Genomic DNA, 17,766 nt, shown 5'->3' on the forward strand with positions numbered 1-17,766 from the left:
ATTTCAGTCAACAAGGGACCACATATACAGTGGTGGTCCCATAAGACTCTAGTGGAGCTGGAGGTATATAATAGACTATATCATGTAGGTTTGTGTATGATATGTAAGGACAAAATTGCCTAAGGACACATCTCTCAGAATGCATCCTCATGGTGAAGCAATGCATGACTGTACTTATAAAGTCACTTAGCCACACTTATAAAAGCAGAAATCACCATAAATCTTTTAGGCTTTTTTGCTTATGTTTCTTAGTGACTAAAAGTCAATTAGGAGTACATTAGCCTATTTGTTGCCTAGTCTTAGTCTTTATTTTACACTTTTATCCTCCCTTTGCACTTTGCTCATTAGTAACTCCCACCAGAGAACAAATGAAAATATAACACTTTATGATTCTGTGTAAGCTATGGCAGATCACCTTTGGAGGTAAGTTCTCTTGTTCAAGATAGGTTGAAGCTGTTTTTGACGCTTGTCTTACACAATGAGGTAAAGCAAGTAATTTGGTTCCTGGGCTGTAAAACAAAACAAAACAAAATACATTAATAGGGAAGAATTGTTCCATTCAGAAAGTTGAAATCTGAAGACAAAACACCTTTTTAGACTCATATGTCTTTAATGCAGTTTATATAAAGTATATCTGAGAAAATTGCCTCTGACTTTTTAAAGCTGAACCCTATTCTTGCCAGCAAATGATGGTATTTGCATTTTTTTTTTGAGATGTAGTCTTGCTTTGTTGCCCAGGCTGGAGTACAGTGGTGCAATCTTGGCTCACTGCAGCCTCTGCCTCCTGGGTTCAAACAATTCTCCTACCTCAGCCTCCCGACTAGCTGGCATTACAGGCATGTGCCACCACACCTGACTAATTTTTGTATTTTTAGTACAGACAGGATTTCACCATGTTGGCCAGGCTGGTCTTGAACTCCTGACCTCAGGTGATCTGCCGGCCTTGGCCTCCCAAAGTGCTGGGATTATAGGCATGAGCCACCCTGCCTGGCCTAGTATTTGCATTTTGCAAACGGAAATCTAACTGTCCCTTATCACTCTTGACAAACAACTTGACACTCTTATGGAGACCAGCACACTTACAAGACAAAATGACAATAATAATAATAATAATACCTAGAAACTCACACACTGAGAATGGGGCAGTAAATAATAATAGGGAGGATAGAAAAGTCAGCATGGCATTCCAGATGAGAAAACTGAAGCAAGTTAAACTTTCTACATGGTAACCGTGATTATGTAGTTGATATACAAAGTAATGACTGTGGGCCTTCAAGAAGAGGTTAAAATACATTCATTATATTAACGAGTGCATCTTAGAAAGATTTCTTTCAAAAAGTAGTTGAAGTTTTTTTGCTTTAAGGAGTAAATCTCAATCATCTGGAAATTTAACTTCTGTGGAATACCTCTTTACATCTTAAAGGAAATGTTAATGCATTATATTGAGGTTATTATTGCAATGGAATTTTCAAAAATGTGAGTGTGCTTTTTTTGTTTCTAGAATCTATAAGACACATATCTGTTCTAGGTATAGTGTCTACTAAGACAATTTCACAATCCAAAAAATAGTTGGTTAGCAAGGATATCAAGTACAACACAGAGACTAGCAAAGAGGGAAGGCTATGAAATAAAATGCTTATAGATGGCTAGTCTCATATCTCTGCTTTATTCCTATAAATGTATCTCATGATATATGTAATCAGAATTATAGTTATTTAATCTCCTCCTTTTTTGTCCATTGCCTCTTTTAGGTCCATGGTTTTTTGGTGAAATCATTGATGGCAAATTTGGTTGCTGCTTTTCCTTTGGGATATTTGTTAATGGACATTTCCTACAAGGCAGCATAACATTTATAATTGGAATTCTCCAGGTAAGAAGTCAGAAAAGCAATTTAAGAACATCTTGGACTTGTCAGACTAATTGCATAACAGTTATGAATTAAATCCAAAATCCAGAATTAAGTACCATAGATCATCTTTCCTACTTTACTTGCAGGGCAGTCTTTAATAAAAGCTTCATTTGCTTTTAAAGTGCTTCCTAAACTCCTTCCACCACTCTCATGTAAACATCTAAAATACATTTTTTTTTCCCCAAGACAGTGTTCTGCTGTCGCCCAGGCTGAAGCACAGTGGTGCAATCTTGGCTCACTGCAGCCTCCACCTCTTGGGTTCCAGCGATTTTCCTGCCTCAGCCTCCTGGGTAGCTGGGATTACAGGCATGTGCCACCATGCCTGGCTAATTTTTGCACTTTTAGTAGAGACAGGGTTTCACCATGTTGGCCAGGCTGGTCTCGAACTCCTGACCTCAGATGATTCACCTGCCTTGGCCTCCGAAAGTGCTAGGATTATAGGCGTGAGCCACCATGCCTAGCCTAAAATACATTTTTGTCATGAAGTGTTTATAAGAGGTGAAAGAAGTTTTTGTTGTTTTTGTTTCACTGTGCTTTTTCATTGACAAAAAAATGAAACAAGGGATTATGGTAGAAAAAGTTTTAGATTTCTGAGTAAACCAAAACTGATTATGATGATGAAGAAGGAAAATATTTTAGAGGGAGGAAACTAAAAAATAGACACATTAAAAAAATGGGTCAGTTATTCAGTGGAAACTGCATTATTCAAAAACCAGACCTGGGCTTTCCTAGCAATGTACTTGTTTAGGAAACAAACTGATGTATTAGGTTTACATTTGATTCCTTTAAAATAAACACACAAAGAACCTTGATCCATAGAAAAACTACATAAACAGATTTGAAAAGTATTTATCTAACAGTTTCTTTATTTTACTCACCTAATGGAGTTAGTGGACCAAAATTTGAAGTTTTGGAAGAGATCCAAAAACATTCAAAATAAGTTCATGGCCTTCTAACAGGGCAGTAGAACATGATCCAACAGGATTAGAGACAGCCAAGTAGGAAAGACTTCTGCCTAGCAAACACTGACCCAAGTCCAGAATATTCTCTGCATAGCAGCATTATATACATGAGTAGGTCCTGGGTTCATTTCAGTTTTCTTTTCTTTTCTTTTCTTTTTTTTTTTTTTTTTGAGATGGAGTCTCGATCTTGTCGTCCAGGCTGGAGTGCAATGGCATCGTCTCGGCTCACTGCAACCTCTGCCTCCCTAATTCAAGTGATTCTCCTGCCTCAGCCTCCCATGTAGCTGGGGTTACAGGTGCCTGCCACCATGCCCGGCTAATTTTTGTATTTTTAGTAGAGACAGGGTTTCACTGTGTTGGCCAGGATGGTCTCGAACTCCTGACCTCAGGTGATCCGCCCGTCTCGGCCTCCCAAAGTGCTGGGATTACAGGCGTGAGCCACTGCACCCAGCCTCATTGCAGTTTTCTATTATGTTGATGGAGGCTGTCTCTAAGGAGCTCTCTCATACCAAATGAATCCTGAGCCTTACCAAAAGGCAGGGTTTTTTCCTTTGTAAATGTTTACATTCATATTCTAATAAATAGTACACTAATAATGGATTTTATGTATCATCCAGACCCATGAATCCCAAATCTATATCTCTGATCTAGACCTCTTCTCTGCACTTCAAGTGCCTCTATATCCAATGGCCACAGATGTCTAACAGGCATCTCAACTTCATGTGATGTCTCTCTGATAGGAACATTATTTCCACCCCAAACCTGTTCCTCTCTGTTTTTCCAGTTTTAATAAATGACTCCACCATTCACCTGATTTCTCCAAGATGTATCCTCAATTATTCCCTTTCCTTCATACCCTGTATCTATTTCACCAGCAAGCTCTACCTTATTTGATCTGCTTCCAATGCATATCTTGAATCCATCCACTTCTCTCCATTTCTGTTTTCCTAATCTAAGTTGTAATTATTTCTTGCCTGGGTCTTCTCCCTGATATTCTTGCCTCCTTACTCTCAGCTTAATACAGAGCATCCAGTGTGCTCTTTTAAAAACTTTACAATCAGCTCACTTACTTTTCAGCTTGAAATGCTTTGAAGCAGAGCAGTGATCTGGGTCCTGCCGACTGCCCCAATTTCCACCTGGCTCATGCTCTGCATGCACTTCCTTAAAGAGGCCAAGACCTCTCCCACCTCTGGGCTTTTCATTTGTTCCTTCTGCCTAGAATGCACTTCCCTCCGCTGATTCATTCTTGTCCTTCTGGCCTCTGAGAGCCTTTCTCCCAGTTACCTTCTCATGACCCAGTTCTTTCCTTCATTGAACTAATCACGATCTGTAATTATATTTTTTGGTTTTTTTTTTTGTCTGTCTTCTCCCTGTTAGAATGTAAGCTCTATGACGGACCTTTTCTAACTTGTTTGCCATTGTGTCCCCAACTTGGAGCCTAGCTCATGCCTGCTACATAATGGGTGCTCAATAAATATTTGTTAAATGAATGAATCATACAGCAGCTCAACTTGGATTATAATTTAGATACTCTAATTTATATTCCAGTACTTATCATGCTACCTCAAACAAAAATGGAGGTAAGAAAAAAAATACTGATAGCCAAGTCCTCCCCTCACTCCACCAAAAAAGAGGGGTTGTTGTATGTGTGTGTATACATTTACTCAGTTCAATTCCAGCTTAACACCATTGGGTATTAACTGTGTATATGATACTGTACTACAAGTTGGGACTTCAGCATAAATTAAATGATACCTGCCTCTAAGATGAATAAAAGGACATGGGCAAATACACAACTAGCCACAAGTCAGCTGTTGTGTTATAAGCAACTGTGCTTGAAGTAAATTAGCTAACGCCAAGACAGATAGCAGCATAGTCTTAGGATCCACTAATAATGCATTATTAAGACCAAACTCTTCCAAGGACTTGGGAGTAAGCTATGGTTCTGTTCTTTTCCAGCTGGCGTTTTTTAACATCCCCTTGATGGCTTACATGTGTTGGAGCTTGCTGCAGCGGTGCTTTGGTCACAACTTCAGGTCTCATCTCCATCAAAGAAAATACTTGAAAATTATGCCTGTTCACCTACTTATGCTACTGCTGTACATCTGGCAGGTTTATTCCTGCTACTTTCTTTATGCAACATACGGCACCCTAGCTTTTTTATTCTCCCCTTTGCGGACCTGGTTGACACTGCTGACACCTGTTCTCATTCGTTATGTGTGGACACTGAACTCCACCAAGTTTGGAATCTTCATGGTGCAGTTAAAAAGCCACCTGAGCTCCTGAAGGCCATGTCTCACCACTGGCAGCTGGGCAGAAGCCCAGCCTCTGTGTCTGTAGCCCAGGCCTCTACCCCAGTAGCAGGTGGAGGGCCAGGATTGGTGGGTGAGCTTTAGGGAGCAGCTGCTCGTTTGGAGTCCTGGACGTTGGAGGGATTACCCACTACTGATACCTGCAGAATGGACTGCAGAAAAGTCTCAAAAATAATGCCTTTATTCCTTCCCTCCCTAAGGAGGCAAAGAGTTGATTTACCTTTGTGAAGAGAAAACCCTTATCTAGGACATCCACAGGGTAGAGGTTGGGTGTGTGTACGGGAGTGTCTGAGGCCCAGTGTGTTTTTTAGGGTTACCCCATGTAAAGCACTTACCGCTGTGCTTGGAATTCAGCAGCTGTCAAAGGTGCAATTTCAGGGGCAGGGAACCTTTGAGGATCTGGGCCCGACCCTCACTACCCCTGAGATATTAGTTCCCAGGCCTGTTTTCCCACAGGATTGTGGGCTCTCTGCTTCCTTAGTCGGAAGTGTTTTCAACTAATCAAATAAATGAATGAATGATGAATAAGAAAGACGGTGAGCCTGAGGCTTGCTTGTGTAGCCTGGCCTAAGGGGCAAGAGAAGGCGTGGCCTGTCCTGGCCTCTGAGAGTGGGATGGTTGGTGCTGTACCTCAGGGGACAGGGCGGGGCGGGAGGAGGCGGGGCCAGGCCTGGTCTCTGATAACGGGATGGGTGGTGCTGGACCTCGGGCGGGGCCGGGCCTCGTGGCGGGAGGAGGCAGGGCAGGGCCTCTGGGACGGGGCTGGACGGCTTGTTGACGGAAACGAGCCCTTGACGCTGTGGCCCGGAAGTGGAGCGGCTGTCGCAGTGCGGCTCCGGCAGTGGCAGCGGAGGCCTGTGTTTGCGGCCTTCGGCAAGCGACTGAGATGGCGAGCGCAACTGCACCTGCAGCCGCAGTCCCCACCCTGGCTTCGCCTTTGGAGCAGCTCCGGCACTTGGCGGAGGAGCTGCGGTTGCTCCTGCCTCGAGTGCGGGGTGAGCTGACGGAGTTAGAACGGGCGACGGCAGGGGCGGGCTCGGGGTCGGGGAGAGGCCGGGCTCGGGGTCGGGGAGAGGCCGGGCTCGGGGTCGCGGAGAGGGCGGGCTGGGGCGGCGGCGGGGAGCCGGGCTTGGGCGAGGGAGGTGGCTCCGCTTACCTCAGCTTTTCCATTCGCCACCGTTCGGCCCCCACACGCCACACCCACAAGTCGGCGAAGCCCAGGAGACCACCGAGGAGTTTAATCGAGAGATGTTCTGGAGAAGACTCAGTGAGTGCGCCTCCTTCCGGGCTCCCCTTGCCTCAGTTCCTCCAGCGTCCCGACCCCTTTTCCTCCCGCTGTCCCCCACGGAGGGGACTGCTCTCCCCCGCTGCATCCTTTCTGTGAGGTACCTTACCCACCTCAGCACCTGAGAGGGTGAAATAGAATTCTAACCTCGACATTCGGGAAGTGTTTTTGAGAAGTCTCGGTCGGTAAGGGAAGTCTTCCAAGTCCGTGCAGCACTAACGTATTGGCACCTGCCTCCTCTTCGGCCACCCCCCAGATGAGGCAGCTGTGACTGTGTCAAGGGAAGCCACGACTCTGACCATAGTCTTCTCTCAGCTTCCACTGCCGTCTCCACAGGTGGGCTTCACTTTCGTGGAATCCTTGGGCTGCCGAGTTACACCTTAGGAATCCTCTAATTTTCTTTCCACCTTTTGCACGCACGCCAGGAGATTTCTTTTCTTCATCTGTCCAGTGAGGTTACCGTTTTTACTTCACAGGATTGTTGTGAAGACCGAATTGCCAAGTGCAGTTCCTGGCGCGGAGTAGGCAGGTCTTATAAATATTGGTTCAGTCTGAAGTTTATCCTGGTTGTTTCCCTTCTGATAATTTTTTAAGCACTTTTTATTTGCTGGGTGTTTTCACATACTTGATGGCCATCTGACAGATGAGCAAGGAGGCTCAGAAGCTCAGCTTAAGATTTAAAAAAAAGCAGGGGGGCTAGAATTTAAATCAAGGTCTATCTGATGTCTAAGCTACCTATTCTGTTATACTGCATAATACCCTTTTTATATTATTTTTTATATTTAATCAGTAACATATGTAGATAGTACAAAATTCAACAGATATCAAAGTGTGTTAAGTTTACCTTTCCACCCACTTTCTCATTTTTGTCTCCCCCAGTTCCTTTTGCATTATTCCACGTATATTCTGTGCATATATACATTCATATACATTTATCTGTATGTGTCAGCTTCTTTTTACACAAATGATACATAAACACTGTTCTGGACCTTCCAACTTAGAATTACTGCAAACAGTGTCGTGATGAATTACCTAATTCTGTGTATGTGTGTATATTGGTAGAAAAAATTCCCGGAAGTAGAATTGCTAGAACAAAGATTTATGCATTTTAAATATTCCTTTATTATAAAACTAATGAAAGTAAACATGTTGGCTATGACCACGTATGCTCTATGCTCAGTTTTTCTAGAGTTGTGTATGCTTAATATAGGAGTAAGATTCTTTTAAAATGGCATATTCATTGCCTTATTTGATTTTCATAGTCAATTGTTTTAATTTTTCAGTCTACATATATAGGTGTTTGGAAAGGATATAAATATCTTCTGCTGCATGTACCTACAGTGATAAACTCTCTCCTCCTACATACCTTTGAGATTTTTTTTTTTTTTTTGAGACAGAGTCTCTCTCTGTCACTCAGGCTGGAGTGCAGTGGCACAGTCTGGGCTCACTGCATCCTCTGCCTACCGGGTTCAAGCAGTTCTCCTGCCTCAGCCTCTCGAGTAGCTGGGATTACAGGCACCTGTCACCACGCCTGGCTAATTTTTGTATTTTTAGTTGAGACGGGGTTTCACCATGTTGGGCAGGCTAGTCTCGAACTCCTGACCTCAAGTGATCCGCCTGCCTTGGCCTCCCACAGTGTTGGGATTACAGGTGTGAGCCACCGTGCCTGGCCTACCTTTGAGATTTGTGATGAGGAAACAAGAGATGAATTGTATGAGAGCACTTCAAAAGATTCATGGAAAATACTTATTTCAAAAAGAGTAGTTAATATTACCTTATTTTTCTTATCTGCTAACCCCTTTCTTTCAAATGCACTTAGGACTTGCTGCTAAAACTCACTGCAAGTAAGATACCACAAGGAGGCAGCATAGAACTGATTTTCTATACATGCTCAGGACAGTAGTTTCACTCATAGATGAAAAGTTAGAATTTGGATTTATTTGAAATATATACAAATATTCAAGTATATACATATATTCAAATAAATACATATATGTATATATGTGTGTATATACACACATACATACACATGAATCATCATTGCCTTCTTGAGATCTCACCACTTTAGTCCTACTAAAAGATGGGTGGTTGTTGGTTTTTTTTTGTTGTTGTTGTTGTTTTTTAAATTCCAATCTGTATGGAATGATACTTTAATAAAATTATGTGCTCGGATGTTGAATAAATGTCAAATTGCCATAAAAGTTTCTAAACACTCTCAGTCACTGCTTATCTCATCCCTGACTGGTCACAAACAGTTTGTAGACTGGCTCCAACCTGGACCACATTTGTATAGTATTGACTTAGAATTTAACAGAAAATTGAGGACAAGGAAGATGAGAAAGCCAGTGACCACCTAGAAGGAAAATAGTTAACATGGAGCATTGTCGAGTCCATGCTAGTTACCTTTAGTTACATATTCTGATTCTGTTAAAAAAAGAGAGAGACCTGGTTAATGGTTTAATAACCATGGTCTGTCAGTTGGTCTGTCTGTCTCTCTCCCTCCCTCTCTTTTCTGTAAAGGGCCAGTTAGTAAATATTTTAGATTTTGTAACCAACTACCCAACTCTGCCCTTATAGAGCAAACACAACTACAGACATTAAAACCAGTGAGTATGGCTGTGTCCCAATACACTTCATTTCCAAAAACAGGCAGTGGGGCCTGACTTGGCCTGAGGACCACAGTTTGCCAGCTCCTGGTCTAAGATATCATGAATATCTTGGGATACAGAGTATCAGGAATAAGTTTTTTCCTGCTGTTTCTTAATGGTTTATTGAGTTGTCAGCCCAATATCTACTATATAGCTAACTCCTCCCTGGTATGTGATGAGTATAGTAGGCCTGCCTTCATACCAGGACTTCAGAAAATGTTTGATGATGCTGTAGAAATATCTGCCCTAGGCCGGGTGCAGTGGCTTACACCTGTAATCTCAGCACTTTGGGAGGCCAAGGGAGGTGGATCACCTGAGGTCAGGAGTTCGAGACCAGTGTGGCCAGTGTGGCAAAACCCCATCTCTACTAAAAATACAAAAAATTAGCTGGGTGTGGTGGCGGGTGCCTGTAATCCCAGCTACTTGGGAGGCTGAGGCAGGAGAACTGCTTGAACCTGGGAGGTGGAGGTTGCAGTGAGCCAAGATTGCGCCATTGCACTCCAGCCTGGGTGACAGAGTGAGACTCTGTCTCAAAAAAAAAAAAAAAAAAAAAAAAAAAGAAAAAGAAAGAAAAGAAAAAGAAAAGAAATATCTGCTCTATTCCACAGCAGAAGGGTTGACCACTTTGATCTAATCTGTTTCCTTTTTCATAGGAAACCCAGAAGTTCTGTGAACAAGTCCATGCTGCCATCAAGGCATTTATTGCAGTGTACTATTTGCTTCCAAAGGATCAGGGTAAGCCACATAAGTGTTGCATTTATCGTGTAGATCTTTGCTAATATTGTGGATTATGTCTTGTGACTTTTACCTTTACCCAACTTGAACATGTAACTTTCTCCCATAAAATACAGTGAAGGATAATTTTGTAATGTAAGTGACTTATATAAACAAGCCATTATTCTAAGATACAGATGCTTTGTTCCTATGACTTCCCATCTCCCCTGCCTTGCCTGACTCATAAGGCTTTTAATTCTCACAGCCTTCTCCCTCTTCAACCCGTTTTAACACCACAGATACTGGCTGGCTCTCAGCCCCATATGCAGGCTCAGGCCATCCTTACTTTCCTCCACCCATGTTATATCTCACCCTATTTCTGAACATCTGCATAGGTTAAATGGCCTCCAGCCCTGCCTGTAGAATCATGCATTGATTATAATCATGCCAAAATTATAACTGAATACATGTCATGGATCTTCAGGGTTACTCAAGTGGCTTAAACTTCAAGTGTTTCATCTACAGTTGTTAAGAGATCACGGTCCTTAATGAATGAATACATGGTGTCACGGAAAGATTTTGTTCCAAATCTCTTTTGAAGAAAACACTAAGGAATGGCAGGAGGGGCAAGAAAATGCCATGGGGATATAAGTAAGACCTGAGTTTTGTGTTAGCATGTAGGTTAAAGCATGTGGGTGTACATTACCTTATAGTTCTGTAATGCTTAGACTCAGGAAAGCAGATGGTGCTTCTGAAAAGAACACCAGGTTGCTTATTCTTTGGGTTTGGCCACAGGGATCACCCTGAGAAAGCTGGTACGGGGCGCCACCCTGGACATCGTGGATGGCATGGCTCAGCTCATGGAAGTACTTTCCGTCACTCCAACTCAGAGGTAGTGATGCCACAGTTTAGGTTACCAGTTATTGGGGTTCCTTGCCTCAGAGGGGAAAAGCTCATTTTAACAGCAAAGTTACTGACAGCTGAGAGTAATGACCAGCAGGAAGAAGCTTTTTAGGAGACAGGAACCTAGGTTATTAATATATCCTTACTGATTTCTTTCCCCAGCCCTGAGAACAATGACCTTATTTCCTACAACAGTGTCTGGGTTGCGTGCCAGCAGATGCCTCAGATACCAAGAGGTGAGTGAAAGTGGGCAGTGGGCCATGTCTGCTGGCCAAAGCAAAGAGACCTCATGTCTAGCTTCCAGCTTTGTAACATGTATTTGAATTTATATAAACAGTCTAGTGAAATATATATATTTTATTAATGAAATTAATAGGTAGGTATTAATACTTTTTGTCATTCTCTAGTTATCATACTTCTAAATTCCACTCCCCCTTGCTGTGGCTGTCTCTTGTTGAACAAGTATGGTTTGTTTTCCTAGTCCTACCCCAAGAGTAGTATTATGGAGCACACTGAAGCAGTTATGAGGTAGAGACAGCTAGGCCAAAACAGTGGTTGTCCAAGAGGACCATGATGATAAACATCATGTGACCATTTTATTTCTTCTTGTGAATAAAATACAAGCTTTTTAAACCCCTATCTAGATACCAGGGGATGTAGTGAGAATTTTTTATTAAACCCGCACCCTTGTCAACCGTCCTTGGCACTCCCATCAATAGGAACAATGTGATTGTTCCTTGCAGTCATAAGAAAATTGTTGGATTTCTCCTCTAATTCTAGTGCTTCTGATTTTTCACTCATAGATAACAAAGCTGCAGCTCTTTTGATGCTGACCAAGAATGTGGATTTTGTGAAGGATGCACATGAAGAAATGGAGCAGGTGAGGGGACCTCCATCATTGGAAGGCAACTCCTTGACTAGTAGATGAGAATTAATTATAAAGAGAGATTTCCTGAGCATTGACCAGATAGGTCCCATTCTCACTACTGTCCTCTGTCTTCCATCTCCCACTGCTTGTTAGTGTTTGATTTAGTACCACTCCTCTGTGTTCCCTTACTGGACAAGGAGAGCGAGAACAGGGTTTATGAAGTGATTCAACTCTGTAGCCCTTAGTGAAGTGGCTGGCTAAGATTTTTGGACAACTAAGACATCGTGGTAAAAGTATAATAATAGGCCTCGCCTTTTTTTTTTTTTTTTTTTTTTGCATTCACATACATCATGGTATGTCTTAGGCTGTGGAAGAATGTGACCCTTACTCTGGCCTCTTGAATGATACTGAGGAGAACAACTCTGACAACCACAATCATGAGGATGATGTGTTGGGGTTTCCCAGCAATCAGGACTTGTATTGGTCAGAGGACGATCAAGAGCTCATAATCCCATGCCTTGCGCTGGTGAGAGCATCCAAAGCCTGCCTGAAGAAAATTCGGATGTTAGTGGCAGAGAATGGGAAGAAGGATCAGGTGGCACAGCTGGATGACATTGTGGATATTTCTGATGAAATCAGCCCTAGGTAAGCGGGATCCCCACTTGAAACATCTGAGCAGCAGCGTTCTGATTTCAATTTGTGTTGTCACCTCAAGGTTTTCACAGTTTTTTTATATTTTGAAATTTTTCAAACCTATAGGAAAGTTTAAAAAGTACCTTCAGTGAACACCCCTATATCCTTCTATTAGATTTGCCTGTTGTTCACATTTTTTCCTATATTGGTTTATTTCTCAAGAGATACTGTTTCATATTTATTCCAGAATGTTTTGAGAGTAAATTGCAGACAGCAATGACATTTCACCCCTAAATACTTCAGTATGTATCTCCTGAAGTACTCTTATTCCTACTCTTATTATCACATCCAAGAAATTTGACATTGAATATAATAGTATTATCTAATATTCAGATTTCCCCAGTTGTCTGTATCTAAAATGTCATATAAATTCAGGGTTCTGTCAAGGTCCCACATTGCATTTAATTGTCATCTCTTTAGTCTCTTGAAATCTAGAACAGTTCCTATCCTTTGTAGTCTTTTTTAATCAACATTTTAAAAAGAAACCAGGACAGTTGTCTTGTAAAATATCCAACAACCTGGATTCACGTGATTGTTAGTTCTCATTTTTGCAAGAATATCATATAATTAAGTGTTTTGTACATCTCATTTTATCATATTAGGGAGGCACATGATGTTGGTTTGCCTCATTATTGGTGGTACTAAATTTGATCACTTAAAGTGGTGCTCACTTTAGTAAAGGTATATTTTACTCTAATTTTAGCTTCCACTGATGAAGGCTGCCTGCCTATATTAGTTATTAAACTGATGGTTTCACATCCTCACATTTTTGACTGAATTGATCATGCACCCTACTATGAACCAAGGGAATTTCCCCCCCAGCTTCCTAGTGAAATGGGGTATGGTTGTTTCAATAAAGACTGGTTGAACTCATTCTGTATTGGTTGCCCAGTTGCCCAATTTTAAAAACTGACAGGCATTTCTGGGACAGTTTCTCACTGTTGACATCCATAGTTGTGTACTAGAAACAACCTGGCTGCGTTTTTTTGTTAATGATTACTTTTGTTTTCTGCTCTTAGTGTGGATGATTTGGCTCTGAGCATATATCCACCTATGTGTCACCTGACCGTGCGAATCAATGTAAGTACTGGCTTTGAGGGAATAGCTACAGAACAAATGGGCAGAATTTCACTAATCACTAGTATTTCCTGTAAGCTATAGGGTACATATTTATTAGTCACATTTGGATGGAAGTACAACAGTAATGTCACAGTTCTTGCATGCGTTTGGGGTTGATAAATATTCACTGAAGTTGAATTATAATAGCCATGAGCTTTGGTAGTTCTCTCTTCCATAATCACCTGGGTAATCATTCAGAAAAGCCCAAAGGCCTTAGAAAATGATGCTTTAAGGCTGGGCGCGGTAGCTCACACCTGTAATCCCAGCACTCCAGGAGGCGGAGGTCAGGAGTTGAGACCAGCCTGGCCAACATGGCGAAACCTTGTCTCTACTAAGAATACAAAAATTAGCCGGGCATCATGCACCTATAATCCCAGCTACTTGGAAGGCTTAAGCAGGAGAATCGCTTGAAGCCGGGAAGTGGAGGTTGCAGTGAGCCGACATCGCGCCACTGCACTCCAGCCTGAGCAACAGAGCAAGACTCTGTCTCAAAAAAAAAAAAAAAAAAAAAAAAAAAAAAAAAGCTTCTTTGAAAAGAAAGTCTTAATTACACGGTAATTTAGGAACTTCTCAACTTGAAGTCACAAGTTTCTAATTTCTAGACTAGGCAGCAATTAGATTGAACTTCAGCTGTTCATGAAGTAGCTGGCTGAGGTCACATGTTTCTGATTTCTAGACAAGGCAGAAATAAGTGTTCCAGAAACATACTCTGTTCTAATACAAACACATTGTGTGATTTAACTATGGAGAGTCAACTTTCTTATAAAAATCTGATTTTATTGTATTCTTTGAGGTTCTGTGCCCTTTACTAGAGAGAGTTCTGTTCTCTCTAATGTTATTGGAAAGAGCAGTAAAACTGCCAAATGGCTTATATTTTACAATTGAATGTATCAATTCTAGTAATATTTGATAAATTGGATAATGGAAATTAGATTCATCAGATGTGTCTTCATGATGTATAAACACCTTGAAGTAGAATAGGATCCTTTTGGGCATTAACATTTTTTTGGCATTAACTTTTAAAAAATTGACTTCCTAAGAAATAAACATTTTTAGCAATATGCCTAGTCAGCTATCCCAAACATAGTATCTGCTCTAGCAATTTTAAAATGTGTACTGCATATGCATCTTATATGTATTGATATTTTATATTAAACGTCTCCATCTTATCCTTATATTGGTGTTCTTAAAATTCTTAATGCGCTTTTTTTTTTTTTTTTTTTTTTTTTTTTTTAAAGGAACCTTAGTCATTTCTGCTTTATATTTTGAGCTATCAGCATTTGGGACCAATTCAGGTTACATTTTCCTTTTTCTGTCCTTTTTTAAATTGAAAATATTTTAGATCTAAAAAATCTTATTAAAATGTTATAGCAATAGTATTAATAAGATCTTGCTAAATAGAAAAGAACCCGTAATCCTGCCACCCTAACCTAATCAGCATTTTAAATTTTGCATACTTCCTTCAGGTCCTTTTTCTAAATAATTTTTTTATTACTTGGGTCTTTAAAAATATTTGAACTCACCTTTTTATGGTAGGGCTCAGGGTGAATAACTTCTGTGTTTCTTTTCTAGTCTGCGAAACTTGTATCTGTTTTAAAGAAGGCACTTGAAATTACAAAGTAAGTATGAAGACTTCTCAGATAGCTTTTTGTGAGTAAAACGGAACTGCTGTCCAGACGTTCTCAACTCCCTAGCTCCCATTTCAAGGAGTGGGAAAGGGTGGGTGTGGGATTTTCTTTCAGCTTCAGTTGTGGGGCAGCTGAGATTCTGCAAAGAAGCTTCCCTTTAAAAAAATTTTAGTTTTCCCTGTGCTCCCTCCTGAGGATAGGTTTTCCCTTGACATCCTAATAAGTTTAACTTACTTCTTTCCTATTCTATTCACAGAGCAAGTCATGTGACCCCTCAGCCAGAAGATAGTTGGATCCCTTTACTTATTAATGCCATTGATCATTGCATGAATAGAATCAAGGAGCTCACTCAGAGTGAACTTGAATTATGACTTTTCAGGCTCATTTGTACTCTCTTCCCCTCTCATCGTCATGGTCAGGCTCTGATACCTGCTTTTAAAATGGAGCTAGAATGCTTGCTGGATTGAAAGGGAGTGCCTATCTATATTTAGCAAGAGACACTATTACCAAAGATTGTTGGTTAGGCCAGATTGACACCTATTTATAAACCATATGCGTATATTTTTCTGTGCTATATATGAAAAATAATTGCATGATTTCTCATTCCTGAGTCATTTCTCAGAGATTCCTAGGAAAGCTGCCTTATTCTCTTTTTGCAGTAAAGTATGTTGTTTTCATTGTAAAGATGTTGATGGTCTCAATAAAATGCTAACTTGCCAGTGATTAAATGAGTGCCCTTCCAAAGTTTCTTTTTACCAGAAATACAGTGGATTGAGACTAGAACATTGCTTTCATTTGGGTTTGTAGGTTTAAAAATCTGATTCTAATCAGAAGTATATTTAGAACAAAACACTTTATTTATAAAAGATGACTCCAAAATTCATCTTAGTATTTCACCATGTTATATATTATTATCAGCAAGTCCTTCTGAATATTATCACAGATTACTCCATGTCTCTAAAATATATTGGCATTGAGCTCATTTGTTAGGTTTGCCCACCTTATTGAACAGATTTATTTTCCTTATACATACTTGTGTTGTCCTTGGTTACGTGTGTCCCCAAATGTAAATACCAAATTTTTATAAATCAAAAATTTTTTAGTGTGTAAGAGATTTTATGTAATTTTAAGGGCCTTTTCAGTTCATCCTTTTGCAAAACCATCACCACTTAATTATACTTTTGCATCAGTCTAGAAGACTGCATATTGGAAAGCAGTGTAAATCTATAATGATGTATATTCTGGTGAGCTGAATAGGGCATTATGCATGTCCTACAGGTCTCCGCCACCTCTCATGCCCATCATCTTCCTTTTGTAGGTGTAATTCATAACATATGCCTTTCTGCTGTCTTTAGGTATAATCAGCAACAGCAGTCATTCTTTGAGTGACTAATGTATACTTGGGGTTGGGGTTGAAATTCCTTAAGCCAAATGAGTTTTAGCTTACTGTTTTGAAGTGCCATTTTGTATTGTTAACAAGTGTCATGAAGGGAAGGAACTAAAATCAAACTGACAGAGTGTCAAGGCAACAAAATAACATAAACAAAATAATAACATTGTACAACAGTCTAGTTCTTTTATCCTTTCATATAGAGCCTATTTTTTATATACTTTTATATTTCTCTACTGGACCAAATTCATGTTATTAACATCAGACTTTAATTGTGGGATACTTAATGAATATAGAACTCTAATATAAAGACTTACCTCTAGCTGAATTATTCTCTCAGGTCCTGTATTGTATAACTTCGTTCAGTCATGTTTGGATCTTTAAGGATAATGATCAGGGAAAGCACTGATCAATGTAATTTTTTTTTTTTTTTTTTTTTTTTTGAGATGGAGTCTTGCTCTGTCCCCCAAGCTGGAGTGCAGTGGCACACTCTCGGCTCACTGCAACCTCCGCCTCCCAGGTTCTCAAGCAATTCTCTGGCTTCAGCCTCTCAAGTAGCTGGGACTACAGATGCACACCACCATGTCCAGCTAATTTTTGTATTTTTAGTAGAGATGGGGTTTCACCATGTTGGCCAGGCTGGTCTCAAACTCCTGACCTCAGGTGATCTGCCCACGTCAGCCTCCCAAAGTGCTGGGATTACAGATGTGAGCCACCGAGCCCAGCTTGATCAATGTAATTTTAAGATTACCTAAAAATTCCATTTTGGGATAATATCCCACTTCATCAGAAATATTAGAATGATTTAAGTGTTAGGTCCTTTCCCTTATCTGTAAGTTAATGAATGTATTAATGAGCAGTAAAATGGTTGCAAAAAACCTGAACCTGAACAATCTGAATGTACTCCTTAAAGGTATCTGAGCACCTTTTCAACCTGAATGACTACTCATTTATCTGATAAAGTGATGTAGTTTGGATATTCAACCCTGCAAACCTCATGCTGAAATTGGATTCCCAGTGTTGGAGGTGGGGCCTAATGGGAGGTGTTTGGATCCCTCATGAATGGCTTCGTTCCATTGGTGGGGTAATGAGTAAGTTCTCGCTCTATATGTCCCTCCCCCACCCCAGAGCTGGCTGTTAAAACGAGGCTGGCACCTGGCACTTACCCCTACCCCTCAACCCATTCTTGCCCTGTGATCTCTGCTCACGTTGCCTCCCTTCATCTTCCTGCATAAGTGGAAGCAGCCTGAAGCCCTCACTGTTTCTTGTACAGCCTGCAGAGCCGTGAGCCAAATAAAGCTCTTTTCTTTTAAACTACCCAGCCTCAGTTATTCC

The 17,766-nt window shown here is 40.8% G+C and overlaps 2 protein-coding genes and 1 long non-coding RNA gene across 48 annotated transcripts in view, besides 3 other annotated features; 2 read left to right on the forward strand and 1 right to left on the reverse strand.

Annotated features, from left to right (window-relative positions):
• The window catches only part of TMEM62 (transmembrane protein 62), a 52,030-nt gene extending 46,315 nt beyond the window's left edge, over positions 1–5,715 (forward strand). For all 41 annotated transcript variants that reach the window (NR_144541.1, NR_144543.2, NR_144542.2 and 38 more), the window contains 2 exons: positions 1,752–1,870; positions 4,831–5,715. Coding sequence is in view for 37 of the 41 variants with exons in the window: in NM_001347004.1 (NP_001333933.1) it covers positions 1,752–1,870; positions 4,831–5,157 (446 nt within the window). In the remaining 4 variants the exon portion in view is untranslated. The remainder of the gene's footprint in view (positions 1–1,751; positions 1,871–4,830) is intronic.
• Positions 286–6,458, reverse strand: LOC124903478 (uncharacterized). Its single transcript, XR_007064604.1, has 2 exons — positions 6,340–6,458; positions 286–509 (listed from the first exon to the last, which is right to left on the reverse strand). It is a non-coding gene; the product is annotated as an uncharacterized LOC124903478 (long non-coding RNA).
• Positions 5,700–5,999: a silencer, noted in NCBI's record as "silent region_6383". NCBI's record gives its function as "represses an Ori minimal core promoter by ATAC-STARR-seq in GM12878 lymphoblastoid cells {active_cell/tissue: GM12878}" and the evidence as "EXISTENCE:reporter gene assay evidence [ECO:0000049][PMID:35858748]".
• Positions 5,974–17,748, forward strand: CCNDBP1 (cyclin D1 binding protein 1). Of its 6 annotated transcripts, NM_012142.5 has the most exons (11): positions 5,974–6,178; positions 6,391–6,450; positions 6,725–6,804; positions 9,770–9,851; positions 10,626–10,722; positions 10,896–10,969; positions 11,537–11,613; positions 11,966–12,246; positions 13,314–13,374; positions 14,986–15,032; positions 15,298–17,748. In NM_012142.5, the coding sequence occupies exons 1-11, from the start codon at positions 6,070–6,072 to the stop codon at positions 15,410–15,412; spliced, it is 1,083 nt and encodes a 360-aa protein (NP_036274.3). In that variant the 5' UTR covers positions 5,974–6,069; the 3' UTR covers positions 15,413–17,748. The 6 variants fall into 6 exon arrangements, 2 of the variants coding, with proteins under 2 accessions (NP_036274.3, XP_047288284.1); NR_027514.3 differs by lacking the exon at positions 10,626–10,722; NR_045998.2 differs by lacking the exon at positions 6,725–6,804.
• Positions 6,220–6,309: a silencer, noted in NCBI's record as "silent region_6384". NCBI's record gives its function as "represses an Ori minimal core promoter by ATAC-STARR-seq in GM12878 lymphoblastoid cells {active_cell/tissue: GM12878}" and the evidence as "EXISTENCE:reporter gene assay evidence [ECO:0000049][PMID:35858748]".
• Positions 6,480–6,579: an enhancer, noted in NCBI's record as "active region_9310". NCBI's record gives its function as "activates an Ori minimal core promoter by ATAC-STARR-seq in GM12878 lymphoblastoid cells {active_cell/tissue: GM12878}" and the evidence as "EXISTENCE:reporter gene assay evidence [ECO:0000049][PMID:35858748]".

Source organism: Homo sapiens, chromosome 15, assembly GCF_000001405.40.
Source record: "Homo sapiens chromosome 15, GRCh38.p14 Primary Assembly".
NCBI classification, from domain to species: domain Eukaryota; kingdom Metazoa; phylum Chordata; class Mammalia; order Primates; family Hominidae; genus Homo; species Homo sapiens.

What these genes read in the sequence shown, in the direction of transcription:
- CCNDBP1 (NM_012142.5), top strand. Translation starts at nt 6,070, where the DNA reads ATGGCGAGCGCAACTGCACCTGCAGCCGCAGTCCCCACCCTGGCTTCG. An exon ending in CACATGAAGAAATGGAGCAG is followed by an intron (nt 11,614 to 11,965) that starts GTGAGGGGACCT and finishes GGTATGTCTTAG; the next exon opens with GCTGTGGAAGAATGTGACCC. An exon ending in AAGGCACTTGAAATTACAAA is followed by an intron (nt 15,033 to 15,297) that starts GTAAGTATGAAG and finishes TTCTATTCACAG; the next exon opens with AGCAAGTCATGTGACCCCTC.